At 37.6% G+C, this 14706-nt stretch overlaps 1 long non-coding RNA gene and 1 pseudogene across 1 annotated transcript in view; one reads left to right on the top strand and one right to left on the bottom strand.

The window, feature by feature from the left end:
* The window catches only part of LOC105378178 (uncharacterized), an 894025-nt gene extending 879319 nt beyond the window's left edge, over positions 1–14706 (top strand). The window contains exons 8-10 of the long non-coding RNA XR_007064152.1: positions 8148–8225; positions 12155–12206; positions 13594–14706. This is a non-coding gene — a long non-coding RNA (uncharacterized LOC105378178). The remainder of the gene's footprint in view (positions 1–8147; positions 8226–12154; positions 12207–13593) is intronic.
* Positions 9330–10396, bottom strand: LOC100422641 (STT3A, subunit of the oligosaccharyltransferase complex (catalytic) pseudogene; annotated as a pseudogene).

The following is a 14706-nucleotide window of genomic DNA, read 5'->3' as shown; positions in this document are numbered from 1 at the left end:
TGAGAAGAACAAAGTTGAAATAACTACCTGGCTTCAAAATGTACTACCAAGTTATACCAACCAAAAAAGCATGGTACTGGCATAAACACAGATACATAGACCAGTGGAACAAAACAGATGATATGGTTTCGCTGTGTCCCACCCAAATCTCATCTTGAATTGTAGTTCCCATATTTCACACATTTTGTGGGAGAGACCTGGTGGGAGGTAATTGAATCATGGGAGTGGTTACCCTCATGCTGTTCTCATGATAGTAAGTGAGTCCTCACAAGATCTCATGATTTATTTTTATTTTTTGAGACTAATTTTCTCTCTTGTTGCCCAGGCTGGAGGGCAGTGGCATGATGTTGGCTCACTGCAACATCGCATCCTGGGTTCGAGAAATTCTTCTGCCTCAGCCTCCTGAGTAGCTGGGATTGGAGGTGCCCACCAACATGACCAGCTAATTTTTGTATTTTTAGTAGAGACAGGGTTTCAGCATGTTGGCCAGGCTGGTCTCGAACTCCTGAGCTCAGGTGATCCACCCTTCTCAGCCTCCCAAAGTACTGGGATTACAAGCATGAACCACCATGCCTGGCCAATCTGATGGTTTTATAAGTGGCTTTTCCCCCTTTCTCGGCACTTCTCTCTCCTGGTGTCATGTGAAAAAGAATGTGTCTCCTTCCCCTTACTCCATGATTGTAAGTTTCCTGAGGCCTCCCCAGTCATATAGAACTGTGATTTAATTAAACTTCCTTTCTTTATAAATTACCCAGTCTTAGGCAGTTCTCTGTAACAGCATGAGAACAGAATAATACAGTAAATTGGTACTGGGAGTGGGGATCTGCTGTAAAGATACCCAAAAATGTGGAAGCAACTTTGCAACTGCATAACAGGCAGAGAACTGTTTAGAGGGCTCAGAAAAAGACAGGAAAATGTGGAAACGTTTGGAACTTTCTAGAGACTCAGAGGTCTCAGAAAACAGGAAGGTGTGGGAAAGTTTGGAACTTCTTAGAGACTTGTTGAATTGTTTTGACCAAAATGCTGATAGTGATATGGACAATGAGGTCCAGGCTGAAGTGATATCAGATGGAGATGAGGAACTTGTTGGAAAATGGAGTAAGGTCACTCTTGCTATACAAAGAAACTGGTGGCATTTCACCTTTTCCCTAGAGATCTGTGGAACTTTGAACTTGAGAGAGATGATTTAGGGTATCTGGCAGAAGAAATTCCTGAGCAGCAAAGCATACAAGAGGAAGCAGAGCATAAAAGTTTGGAAAATTTGCAACCTGGGCATGAAAAGAAAAACCCATTTTCTGGAGAGAAATTCAAGCTAGCTGTATAAACTTGCATAAGTAACAAGGAGCTGAACTAATCACTAAGACAAAGAGGAAAATGTCTCCAGGGCATGTCAGAGAACCTTGCAGCAGCTTCTCTCATCACAGGCCTGATGGCCTAGGAGGGAAATATGGTTTTGTGAGCCAGGCCTAGAGTCCCCCTTCTCTATGGAGTCTTGGGATGTGGTACCCTGCATCCCAGCTGCTTCAACTCCAGCCACAGCTAAGAGGGGCAAACACACAGCTTAGGCCGTTGCTTCAGAGAGTGCAAGCCCCAAGCCTTGGTGGCTTACACATGATGTTGGGCCTGTGGGTGCACAGAAGTCAAGAACTGAGGTTTGGGAACCTCCACCTAGATTTCAGAGGATGTATAGGAACGCCTGATTGTCCAGGCAGAAGTTTGCTGCAGGGGAAGTGTCCTCATGGAGAACCTCTTGCTTGGGCAGTGTGGAAAGGAAATGTGGGGTCAGAGCCCTCACACATGAGTCCCTACTGGGGCACTCCCTGCTGAAGCTGTGAGAAGAGGGACACCAGCCTCCAGACTCTCAAATAATAGATCCACCAACAGCTTGCACCATGTGCTTGGCAAAGCTTCAGACATTCAACACTGGCCCATGAAAACAGCCAGGAGTGGGGCTGTACCCTGCAAAGCCACATGGCAAGAACTGCCCAAGGCCATGAGAACCCACCTCTTGCATCAGCATGTCCTGGATGTGAGACATGGAGTCAAAGGAGATCATTTTGGAACTTTAAGGTTTATGAATGCCCTATTGGATTTCGGACTTGCATGAGGCCCATAGACCCTTTAATTTAGCCAATTTCTCCCATTTGGAATGAGTGTATTTACCCAGTGCCTGTACGTATATTGTTTCTAGGAAGTAGCTAACTTTATTTTGATTTTTACAGGCTTAGAGGTGAAAGGGACTTGCCTTGTCTGAGACGAGACTTTGGAATTAGACTTTTGAGTTAATGCTGGAATGAGTTAAGATATTGAGGGACTGTTGGGAAGGCATGATTGTGTTTTGAAATGTGAGGACATGAGATATGAGAGGGGCCAGGGGAAAAATGATATAGGTTGGCTGTATCCCCACCCAAATCTCATCTTAAATTGTAGTTTCTATAATCCCCATGGGTTGTGGGAGGGATCTGGTGGGAGGTAATTGAATTATGGGGGCAGTTACCTTTATGCTGTTCTTATGATAGTGAGTTCTCAAAAGATATGATGGTTCTATAACAATCTTTTCCCCTTTGTTCAGCACTTCCCCTTCCTGCCACCATGTGAGGAAGGACATGTTTGAGTCCCCTTACACTATGCTTCTATGTTTCCTCAGGCCTCCCCAGCCATGCAAAACTGCGAGTTAATTAAACCTCTTTCTTTTATAAATTGCCCAGTCTCATGCAGTTCTTTCTAGTAGTGTAAGAATGAATGAATACAATAGAGAACCCAGAAATAAATCCACATATTTACAGCCTACTCATTTCAACAAAGGTTTCAAGAATATATATTTGGGAAAGGACAATCTCTGCAGTAAATGGTGCTGGAAAAACCAGATATCACATGTATAAGAAAGAAACTAGATCCTTGTATCACCATATTGGAAAAAGCAAATAAAAATGAAAAGACTTACATGTAAGACCTGAAACTCTGTAGCTATTAGAAGAAAACATTATTAGGGAAATGCTTCAGGACATTGGTCTGGACAAAGATATTTTGGGTAAGACCTCAAAAGCACAGGCAACCAAAATAAAAGTTGACAAGTAGAATCACATTAAGCTAAAAAGCTACTGCACAGCAAAGGAAACAATCAACAAAGTGAAGAGACAACTCACAAAATTGGAGAAAATATTTGCAAACTACTCATCTGGCAAGGGATTAATAACCACAATATGTAAAGAGCACAAACAACTCAATAGGGAAAAATTGACTAAAAACTGGACAAAAGATCTGATTAGACATTACTTAAAACAAGATACACAAATGGCCAATGGGTATGTGGGGAAACAAAAAGCTAAACCTCATCCATCATTCGAGCAATGCAAATTAAAACATGACCATATGAGATATCATCTCACTGTAGTTAAGATGGCTTTTATCCAAAAGACGAGCAATAATATATGTTGGAGGGGATATGGGAAAAGGAGAACTGTCCTATATTGCATGCAAATTAGTACAGCCACTATGGAGAATAGTATGGATGTTACTCAAAAAACTAAAAGTAGAACTATCATATGATCCAGCAATCCAACTGCTGGGTATATATCTAAAGAAAGAAAATCAGTATATTGAAAAGATATCTACACTCCCATGTTTATTGCAGCACTGTTTACACCACAATATAGTTTAAACCTAAGTGTCCATCAATGGATCCATTGATAAAGAAAAATTAGTAAATATACAGACAATATTATCCAGTCATAAAAAAGAATGAAATCCTATCATTTTCAGCAACATGGAAGAGCCTAGAGAACATTCTGTGAAATGACATAAGCCAGGCACAGAAACAAAAATGTTACACGTACTCTTTCATATGTAAGAGCTAAAAAAGTTGACCTCAAGGAGATAGAGTAGAAAGGTGGTTACCAGAGGCTGGGAAAGGTAGGGGGAGGGGAGACGAAGAGATGAAGAGAGGTTAGTTAATGGGTTAAAAAGAATACAGTTAGAAGAAATACTCTCTAGTGTTTGACAGCACAGTATGGTGTCTATAGTTATCAATAATTTATTGTATATTTCAAGATAGCTAAAAGAGAAGAGTTGGAATGTTCTCACCACACAGGAATAATGCTTTAATTGATGGATATCCCAATTACCCTGACTTAATCATAGCACATTGTATTTATATACCAAAATATCACATATATCCCATAAATATATACGATTATGATGTATCAATTTAAAAATTGAGAATAGTGATAAATTAGTTCATCTTGAAGGCATTTTCTTACCTTTCAAATATACACTGAGTTTTTCTATTTCTACATATATACATATATATACATGCATCAGTCACTTCAGATTTACCAATTATTGTTATCAACTGTTTTTGAATTATATTTTTTTGTTACATAAGGCTACTATGACAAGTAGTAGTAATTTCCCAGTCTTGAGTATGTCTTTAGTAGCAGCGTGAGAACAAATACACCCAGTTGTTGGAGGTGGGACCTGGTGGGAGGTGGTTGGATCATGGGGATGGATCCCTCATGAATGATTTGGCACCATCCTTCTCGGTACTGTCCTCACGGTAGTGAGTTCTCATGAGATCTCATCATTTCAAAGTATGTAGCCCTCACTCTCTCTTGGTGTGCCTTTATTTGTGTAAAGAGAATAATTTGCATGTACCATAAAGATAAACTTTCTCTTTTATTTGTTCTCTCCTTATGGGAAAGTGTTGATGTTAGCAATTTTTAAAGAGAGAAACATTGGTTCTCTTTAATATATTTATACCACCACAAATTCACTTATATCAGACAACCTCAAGGAAAGAGAACATATTGTACACTGTTCAAAGCCACACAAAATCTTTGAGATGTAAAAAGTTAGCTAATGACAGTTTTTATTTTAAAAATGAAATTACTTTTAAACAGAAAAAAAGAGAAATATCTGCAAAATCTCAGATATTTTTCCCTCTATTTCTAAAATGAAACTAGATAAAACATTCCTAGCTTCATCAAGTTTCTTGAAGGCTGTTTATATTGTGCATGATGGGGGGATGTTTTGTTGTCACAACTACTTCAAACAGTGAAAGGTTATACGTTGATAGACTCAGCAATTTGAGGAGCTATAAAGAGTTTGAGAAGTCATCAAATCCACATACAGCTAGAATTCAACAAAATATTGAATAATCCGTTAAAATTTATACCATTCTTTTGTCAGAGTATTACAGACCTTAGATATTTGTGCTGTGACTTACACCCTTTTAGTTTATGTATGGTTAAAAATGAAAAATACTAGATTGTTGCTTTGCTTTATTTGTTTTTCATGATAAAATCTCATGGGCTTGGCACCTACTTGAAAGATTGCCTTTCTTATCTTCTGATTAGGTAATAAGGATACTGTTGTCTTTTGGTCCTCAAGTTATGGTTTCTAACATCTGATCTTTCCCACCAGTGCCAGCAAGTTTGCTTTGAGTACCTAAAGATTATACTGAGTATAATGAAATTTCATCAATTTATTGTAAAGGCAAAACATCTTCTTGTATACTCATTAGATACCACCACCTTCAAATGAATATGATAAATCAATCTTGTCCTTATTGAATGGATTTAGTATTCAGCATCCAGGCCTAATAAAAAATATGATCTAATGAAGGTAAGAAATAGAAAAAACATTCTTTTATTTAGACTGTTAAATCTAACTAAACTAAAACTAAGATGTTCATTTATAGAAGGAGTAAAAACTAGTTATTTATTAACAGAAACTGAGTTGTCATTGCTGAATTTCCTGTGCCTGAATGTTCTTGGAGGTTAATTTTAAAGGCAAAAGAAGATTTAACTCTCCTCAAACATAGTGAATTTGGAGAGATAAGGGAATCATAGGTTGAATATAACTTTGAAAATATAGCAGTATTATCTCAGAAAATAGGATATGACAATGTTGTTTCACAAGGAAAAAATACGAGTATTTCTATTCAAGCAATCTCAATAAGGGATCAGAAAATTGAGATGGGACAAGACAAAAGTGGAAACTGGAAAAAACATGTTGAAACCTCTTCTGTGTCATGAAGCCTGGAAGCTAGGGATGTCTGTCTACTAAATAAAATGATAAGTCAGCTTTAATGTCAATGTATAATAAAGATTTTTAAAAGGAGATTCACAATTGTAATTTTTAAAACACAGAGGAGTTCAAAAAAGCAAATAGTCTTCATTGGTGTCCTTCCTTTTGTTCCTTGGCTGTCCCAATTTGAAAGCATAATATTAAAAACATAATGTATGTGTCTGTACATGTGCATGTTGTGTGTATTTATAGTACAATAAATCATACATATGCATTTCTTTTTTACTGAAGTAACTTTTGATAATTGGCAGGGAAGTCAGAATGTTCTTTTTTATTTAATATAATCCTAAATAGAAAATTTGCATTCATTTTTACAAATATTATTGAGGCTTTCAGGTGCTAACATGCATCCTTGAAGGTTAATTATGCTTTTATGGAAAAATGGTAGGGATTGATAAAAATAAGTCCTTTGGACACCATAGAAAATAAACTAAAATAAATAATTATTTTAAAATATTTTAATAGCCATGATTATAAAATATCTATAAACTATTTGCCTGCTTTTAAGTAAGTGATATTTATTTTAAAGTTAAATTATTAAAGTTTTAGTGAAGCAATGTCAGGCAGTCACAGAAGAGGAGGAGTAGGAGGAGGAGGAGAAGAATAATCATTTAATTTATGATAAATTTGTAAATGCCCAGTAAAAGTTTTGCCTTTTGGAACTCCCCTAAGTGTATTCATGTCAAAATGGGGTAATATCATAAATCCAGGAGTGATTTAGTAATCATAGATTATGAGTTACTGTAAAAATGTAAGGATTTTTTATAGGGGTTAAAACAATTGTGGCAATCTCAGTTTACAAGTGCATTCAACTTTGGCTGTGTGGAGCTTACAGTCTAAGAGAGTATAGTGTGTACATAGACACTTAATAAATAGATGAATCCTGTGGGGCGGAATCTGTACATATTACAGCTCTTAGCTTACTTAGATTCTTAATCTTATTGAAAAGAAAAAAAGACAAGCTACAGACAAAAACAGTATCAAAGAAAAAATGTATTTACCAATAGTAAACAGTCTCTATAGCAATTATTTAAGCCAAGAAGAGAAAATGCCTTTCCAGACTGTGTCCCTGGTCTCACTTCATTTTCCATTGCCTATTCCAAATAACACCATGTACATCCAGCATAAAGTCATTTGTTCCTTGCCTTTGAAAACTGGAGGCCTTATTTGTTCTTGATCTCTGCTTCAGAGAAAAAGCAATGCACTTACTTTGGCAGGTTTTATGAATCCACAGCGTTCCTTGCACAGAAACTGAAAAGAAAAAATATGTTTTTACTCTAAGACTGGGGAAAATGTAGCTGATAATGTGAAAAGTTGTAATTCACTTTTCCACTTTTGCTTGTTAGTTGAATTAAAACATCCTCCTTATTTTAAGAAAGGTATATTACTACACGATGCTATTGCAGTGCTGTGGTTATTTACATTTGCTCTGGGTCATGGTACAATCCAACATGCTTCTCATTTTGACATTTTAGCAGCAGTTGGAATAACTGGTGTGAAGTATCACTTTTAATTGAAGGCATCTCAGTGGAGAGCAGAGAGGGCTTCCTGAGCACTCATTTAGATGAAATCTTCCTAAAATCCCTACTGAAAAGATGCATTCAAGTAAAAAAACAAAAGGAATCAGAAATGCGGAATTGTAAATGAGATATTTATCACAATGCTTTTCCTCCTTCTCTGGTTTATGCCCTCTCAAGCTGGAATCTGAAGTTCAGTTTAATACCGCCTTTGAAACTTTTCTGAGTGCTTACCAGTTCTTTTCCTTTCCAGTTTCTGTTATTAATTCTTATCGCTGAGGAAAATAAAGAAGATCACTTTTTTTTTACCCTTTTCCTGAGTGTTGAGTAGAACTTGAAGAAAGAATCCTCATTTATTTCAGCTAACTCACAATAGAATAGCTATAGGAATTCAAGAACTCTAAGAATAAAATCCCCTCTATTGACATTATGTATATTATATCTAGAGTTAGATTATTCTGGCTCACTATGGTAATTCACAATTTCTACTCCTGTTGGTAGTAAGTCTTAATAGACATTCTGCGTAATTTGTTCCATCCGCAGGTTCATCTGTCTGAATATAGATATCAAGAAGTGGCAGAGTATCAGAGGAGAAAGATATCAAGAAATAGAATATTCAAGGTACTAATGGGATTGTCAATAAATATTATCCCCAACTCTCATACACCAGGACATCCTAAGGGAGAAATGGCATATTATCTGATATTAACTTAATGTAATGTATTTAGTGCTAACTATGTGTTAGACAGTATTCTAGGTACCAGATATACAGTGCTTTCATGGAACTTACACTCAAATGTTAGGAGACATTCAATTTAAAAATGAATACATAAATGAAAATGGTGATAATTTTTGTGCAAAAGGTGAAATTCAGAAGAAGGTAGGGATAATTGGAGAGGGGATTATTAGTTATTGGGCAGGAAAGGCATCACTGAGAAGGTCATATTTGACCTCTAAAGTCAGTAAGTAACCAAGATTTGTGGAGTTTGGGAGAGAAGTGCATTCAAACAGACAAAACCACAAGGACAGCTTTGCTTGGCACAAATCTCAAATTTTCGTGGCATTTTTGCTCAGCCTATGTCAGCAATAACAAGTTATAAAAGCTTGACAAAGTTGTTCACAGAGGTGTATTAGTCTGTTTTCACACTGCTAATAAAGACATATTTGAGACTGGGTAATTTATAAGGAGGTTTAATTGACTCACAATTCAGCATGGCTGGGGAGGCCTCATAATCATGACGGAAGGCAGATTAGGAGCAAAGTCATGTCTTACGTGGCAGCAGGCAAGAGGTCATGTGCAGAGGAACTCCTCTTTATAAAACCATCAGATCTCATGATACTTATTCACTATCATGAGAACAGCACAGGAGAAACCCAACCCCATGATTCAATCACCTCCCATGACGTACGGAGATTATTACAATTCAAGGTGAAATTTGGATGGGGACACAGAGCCAAATCATATGAAACGTTTTGCATATTTCCCTTCTTTAATTCATAAAATTATTAGAACAAAACAATTATATTTAAAAACTATTATTGTGAAATCAAACCTTCAGAAAAGTAAAGAGAGTATGACAAACACTATATACTTACCACCTGGATATAATAAATCTTATGTTTTTTGCCATGTTTTCCAAAATTATTTTAAGGTAGTAGTAACACATCATAGTAGCAATGAAGACATTTGTGTATCTGTGTTATTTAGGATTTCTTGCTCTCCATTAACAAAAAATGATATAAAGACTGTACTGTGGACTAATGCTGGGACCAAAAAGCAACTATGGCAATATAGTTCTTAGTATACAAAAGATCCATCCATCAGTGAGTAGAAATACTCCATCTAGGAAGGTAGTTTTCCTGTCAGCATACAAACAGGGCCCACAGTGAGAAGTAGAAGGACTATCAGGGAGAGGGCATTCTAGAAAAAGACTTCAAATTGCTAGGTGTCCAATTTGCTGTAATCTATAAAAGAATAGATCTAGCGAAGGAGCAAAGACCAGGAAGGCTGCCATGTTCTCTGATAGAATGAGCTGCAAACACAAGGGAGATCCCCACTCCCCCAAAAAATGGTGCTCAGGAAGTAAACAGTACAGTAAGCAACAGAGATCCAATGGAAAAATATCTTATGAGTACACAGAAAGAGATTGGTTTGATCAGGAACACAGAAAATCCCAAAGAGCCTATGTAAAAACAAGAAAGAATGCAGTTGGCTACCACTAGATGGAGCCCGTATTTAATGCCTTAATCCACATGTATTATGGGTGAGCCAAATAAAAAAGATGGCAATCCCTTTGTTATCACAGGATACAGCCACATGTCAGGATGAACAGGCAGGTACTATTGCAATTATGAAAGCAGAAAAAAGCCCAGATCCTGCATCCATGAGCCCTTTAAAGAGGTGGTACTCAGTGTTGACTGTGAAGTAGGAGAAAAGAAAGGACAGGGACAGCCTTTCTGAATGTTGATTACAATGTGGATAAAATGAAGTTCATGGTAATTTACAGCAGATGTGATCATTAAACCTGGGCTAATTGTACAATGACTTGCTCCAAATAGTATCATTCCTGGCTATCAAACCAGGTACAGTACTTATAAAACCCCTCCTCAGCCAGGAACTTGTTAGTCTAATAATTGGAATGCAGATACAATTTATAGATAACGTTTTCAATTCTCATGACTACAAAGAGACAGGTGAAGAGAGATAACAAAGTGGCTATTAACAGGTGCGGATGCTTAGCAAGTGTGTCCTGTTTCTCATAAGACAGCAGCAAAAATCCCAGCTAAGTAATTTTGACAACAGTGGTTGGCAACAGATGATACGTGAATATCTACACAATGTTCCTCAAGAGTCTGTTACTTTGGAACAAGATTTTTGACAATATGTTGTATTATTCTGTTCTCACACTGCTATAAAAACATGCCTGAGACTGGGTAATTTATAAAGAAAAGAGGTTTAATCGGCTCACTATTCCTTGGGCTGTACAGGCTTCTGCTTCTGGGAAGGCCTCAGGAAACTTACAATCACAGTGGATGGTGAAGGGGAAGGTAGCACATCTTCACATGGCCCACAGGAGAGAGAGTGAAGGCGGGAAGTGCTACACACTTTCAAACAACCAGAACTCATGAGAACTCACTCACTATCGTAAGAACAGCAAGGGGGAATTCAGCCCCCATAATCCGATCACCTCCCACCAGGACCCTCCTCCAAAGTTGAGAATTACAATTCAACAAGATATTTGAGTGGGGGCACAGACACAAACCATATCATTCTGCCCCTGACTTCTCGCAAATCACATGTCCTTCTCACATTTCAAAACACAATCATGCCTTCCAATAGTCCCCCAAAGTCTTAACTCATTCCAGAATTAACTCAAAATTTCATAGTCCAAAATCTCATCTGAGACAAGGCAAGTGCCTTCTGCCTCTGAGCTTGTAAAATCAAAAGCAAGTTAGTTATTTCTAAGATACAATCGGGGTACAGGCATTGGGTAATAATACCTGTTCCAAGAGGGAAAAATCAGCAAAACAAAGGGGCTACAGACCCCATGCAAGTACAAAACCCAGCAGGGCATTCACAAATCTTAAAGCTCCAAAATAATCTTCTTTGACTCCATGTCTCACATCCAGGCCACACTGATGCAAGGGATGGCCTCCCAAGGACTTGGGCATCTCCACCCCTGTGACTCTGCAACATCCAGCCCCCTTGGTTGCTTTCCCAAGCTGGTATTGAGTGCCTGTGGCTTTTCCAAGTGGATGATGCATGCTGTTGGTGGATCTACCATTCTGGGGTCTGGAAGATGGTGGCCCTCTTCTCACAGCTCCACTCTAGTCAGTGCCCCAGTGGGGACTCTGTGTGGGGGCTCCAACCCCACATTTCTCCTCTGCACTGCCCCCAGCAGACGTCTGCCTGGACAGCCAGGTGTTTCCATACATCCTCTGAAATATAGGCAGAGGTTCCTAAGCCTCACCTCTTGCCCTCTGTGTACCTGCAGGCTTAACATCACGTAAAAGCTTCCAAAGTTTGTGACTTGTACCCTCTGAAGCAGTGGCCTGAGATGTATTCAGGGCCCTTTTAGCCACAGCTGGAGCTAGAGCTGGAGCAGCTGGGACACAGGGAGCAGTGACCTGAGATTGCACAAGGCAGTAGGACCCTGGGCCTGGCCCATGAAACCATTCTTCTTCCCTCCTGGTCCTCTGAGCCTATGATGGGAGTGACTGCTGTGAAGGTCTCTGAAATGCCTTCCAGGCATTTTCCCCATTGTTTTGGCTATTAAAATTTGGCTCCTCTTATTCAAATTTCTGCAGCTGGCTTGAATTCCTACCCAGAAAATTGGTTTTTCTTTTCTACCACATGGCTAGGCTGCAAATTTTCCAAACTGTTATGCTCTGCTTCCCTTTTAAATATAATTTCCAGTTTTAGTTCATCTCTTTGCTTACAAATATAAACATATGCTTTTAGAAACAGCCAGATCATATCTTGAATCCTTTGCTGCTTAGAAATTTCTTCCACCAGATACCCTAACCTGTCTTCTTTTGATCCCTCCAAGCTGTTTCAACTTCTACCCGTTCCACATTTCCGAAGCTACTTCCACATTTCAGGTATCTTTATAGCAATGTCCCATTTTTTGGTACCAATTTTATGTATCAGTTCATTCTCACACTATTATAAAGACATACCTGAGACTGGGTAATTTATAAAGAAAAAAGAGGTTTAATCAGCTCACAGTTCTGAAAGCTATACAGGTTTCTGCTTCTGGGAAGACCTCAGGAAACTTAATCATGGTGGAAGGTGAAGGGCAAGCAAGTACATATTCACATGGCTGGCAGGAGAGAGAGAGAGCATGAAGGGGGAAGTGCTACACGCTTTCAAACAACCAGATCTTGTAAGAACTCACTCACTGTCATGAGAACTGCAAGGGAGAAGGCTGCCCCCATAATCCAATCATCTTCCACCAGGCTTGCCCTCCAACATTGAGAATTACCATTTGATTTGATTTGGTCATGTACACAGACCTGAACCATATCATATGTTATTGATTAAAATTTTTTTAATAGTAAAGTATACCTTATTGGGTAAAATAAACTTACATAGTACATAAGAGGGGTATAATTATTAAAATGAATAACAAAACATAGTGGAAAAATTAGGTATGGAATAAAATACTTTCTGACTCTAGAGCCTTACATTAGTCTTCAAACTTACAGCACCACTCACCCAAAGAGGATAAGAAAATTGAGTTATTTAGTTCCCTTAGAAAACAACAGCCTAAAGAACCAGCATAATAACAGTTCCCAACTCAAATCTGACTCCATGCTTTTCTTACATAATGCTTTTTAAAATGTTTTATTCTTTTTAAAAAATGTAAAGTAGTGATAATATTTAAAATTTTAGTTAGCATTAAGCCCAGGTGGGATTTCATATTTTTACTAATACATAATCAGAATGCATGATGAGACGCAGAATTTAAAAATGATTTTTTTGAATTTGGAATTGCCTTTGTTTTGTTGCTACGATTAGATTTTTCTGGACATCTCAAACTTTAATATGTATAAAAATTACCTGGGGGATGTTATTAAAGTACAGATTCTGATTGAATAAGGTTGAAACAGAGCCTGAGAGTCTGCATTTCTAACAAGCTCCCAGGTGATGAGATGTTGCTGATCCAAGGGTTATGCTTTGAATAGCAAAGACTTAGTTCCAGGACAGATACTTCACTTTTACTCATTCTAATTCTAGCCTCGGAGAGTTGACAGCTTTCAAATTTCTCAGTGAAGTCAGAACTGGAGAAAAGGCCAGAAACAAATGTGAGATATTACAATGGATTTTGAATAAACATTTTATCAAGCCTTAAAAAAAATTGAAGAATTTTTCCCACATGGTGCTTTTCTTGCAGCCAAAGTGCTAGATCTGTGGAGATGTAAATAGGTTATTCTTTGTATGCCGTAAGCTTGTCTTAAACACTTTGTATTTTTTTTTAATTAACAGGTAGCAAGAAACAGGCCTCTGAAATTTAAGAACCACAAAACAATAAAAGAAGTAAACTCTTTTGTTGAAAAGCTCCAATTCCCCTGTAAACGTCTCATTCAGAGTCTAATTGTAACCCAATTAAGAAAATTAAGATGAGTAGAAACAGCTGGAACAGAAGGCACTTGGGGTGAAGTGTACCCTCTGCAGTCATTATTTGATGGAGATCATTACCCAACTCTACACACAGCACATGATATTTAATATGATTGGACTAATTTATATCTGAAAAGAATAAAAGTATGTTATGTAAATAAATCGAGTGACCTATTAGCTCAAATTCTTAAACACTCAGTTATCCAACGTTGCAAGTACAGTCATGTGATAAACCTTCAAAATGCGGTTAGTCCTCTTTCTGTATCTGTCCACAGCATTACCTTTTTTCCTTTTGGTCATGGCAATATATTCATCTCATGAGTGTTACAGCCAGAGATGCACCAGTAACAACATTGTGATGTCCCATGTTTAATTTTATGTGTGGTGAGTGTTAAAGGGAGAATAAAGCCTTAATTTGAATTTAAAACTGGTAATTACATACACCTGTTCTTGCAATTCAAGACACTCTCACATTGATGAAAGTGTTCCATTGTTTTAGCATCTGTTTAGAAATACAAGTTACAAAGTTAAAAGTAATGACTTAACTTCTCCAAGACTTACTTTTCTCATGTGCAAATGGCAGATAGTAGCAGTGAATACCTCACAGGACTGTTGAGAAGACTAAATGAGATAGTTCAAGGAAGGCACGTGGATTGTGCCTGGCCCATGTAACTACTCAGTAAATGTTTGCTATCTTTATGTATTTGAACCCAGAGCTTTGATAATCATGATTCCTATAATCGCTTTTAGATTAAAAGATACAAGTTTTAACTTTAAGAGACAAATTTTAAAACACTTAAGTATCATTTTCATTTATATATGGTCCATCTCACCATTCCAGCAGGCCCATCTGCAGTCATGTTACGGAGTCAATGCAAACAAGTAAAATAAATGACAGGAAAAATAATACTTTTGATATGCACATCAGCAATGTGAATATGAGCTAAAGCATTAATAAAGACAGTTTCATATTCTCTT

Source organism: Homo sapiens, chromosome 14 (assembly GCF_000001405.40).
Source record: "Homo sapiens chromosome 14, GRCh38.p14 Primary Assembly".
In the NCBI taxonomy this organism is placed as follows: domain Eukaryota; kingdom Metazoa; phylum Chordata; class Mammalia; order Primates; family Hominidae; genus Homo; species Homo sapiens.
Note: the sequence above shows the minus strand (reverse complement) of the source record. Positions and strands in the feature narration are given on the sequence as shown.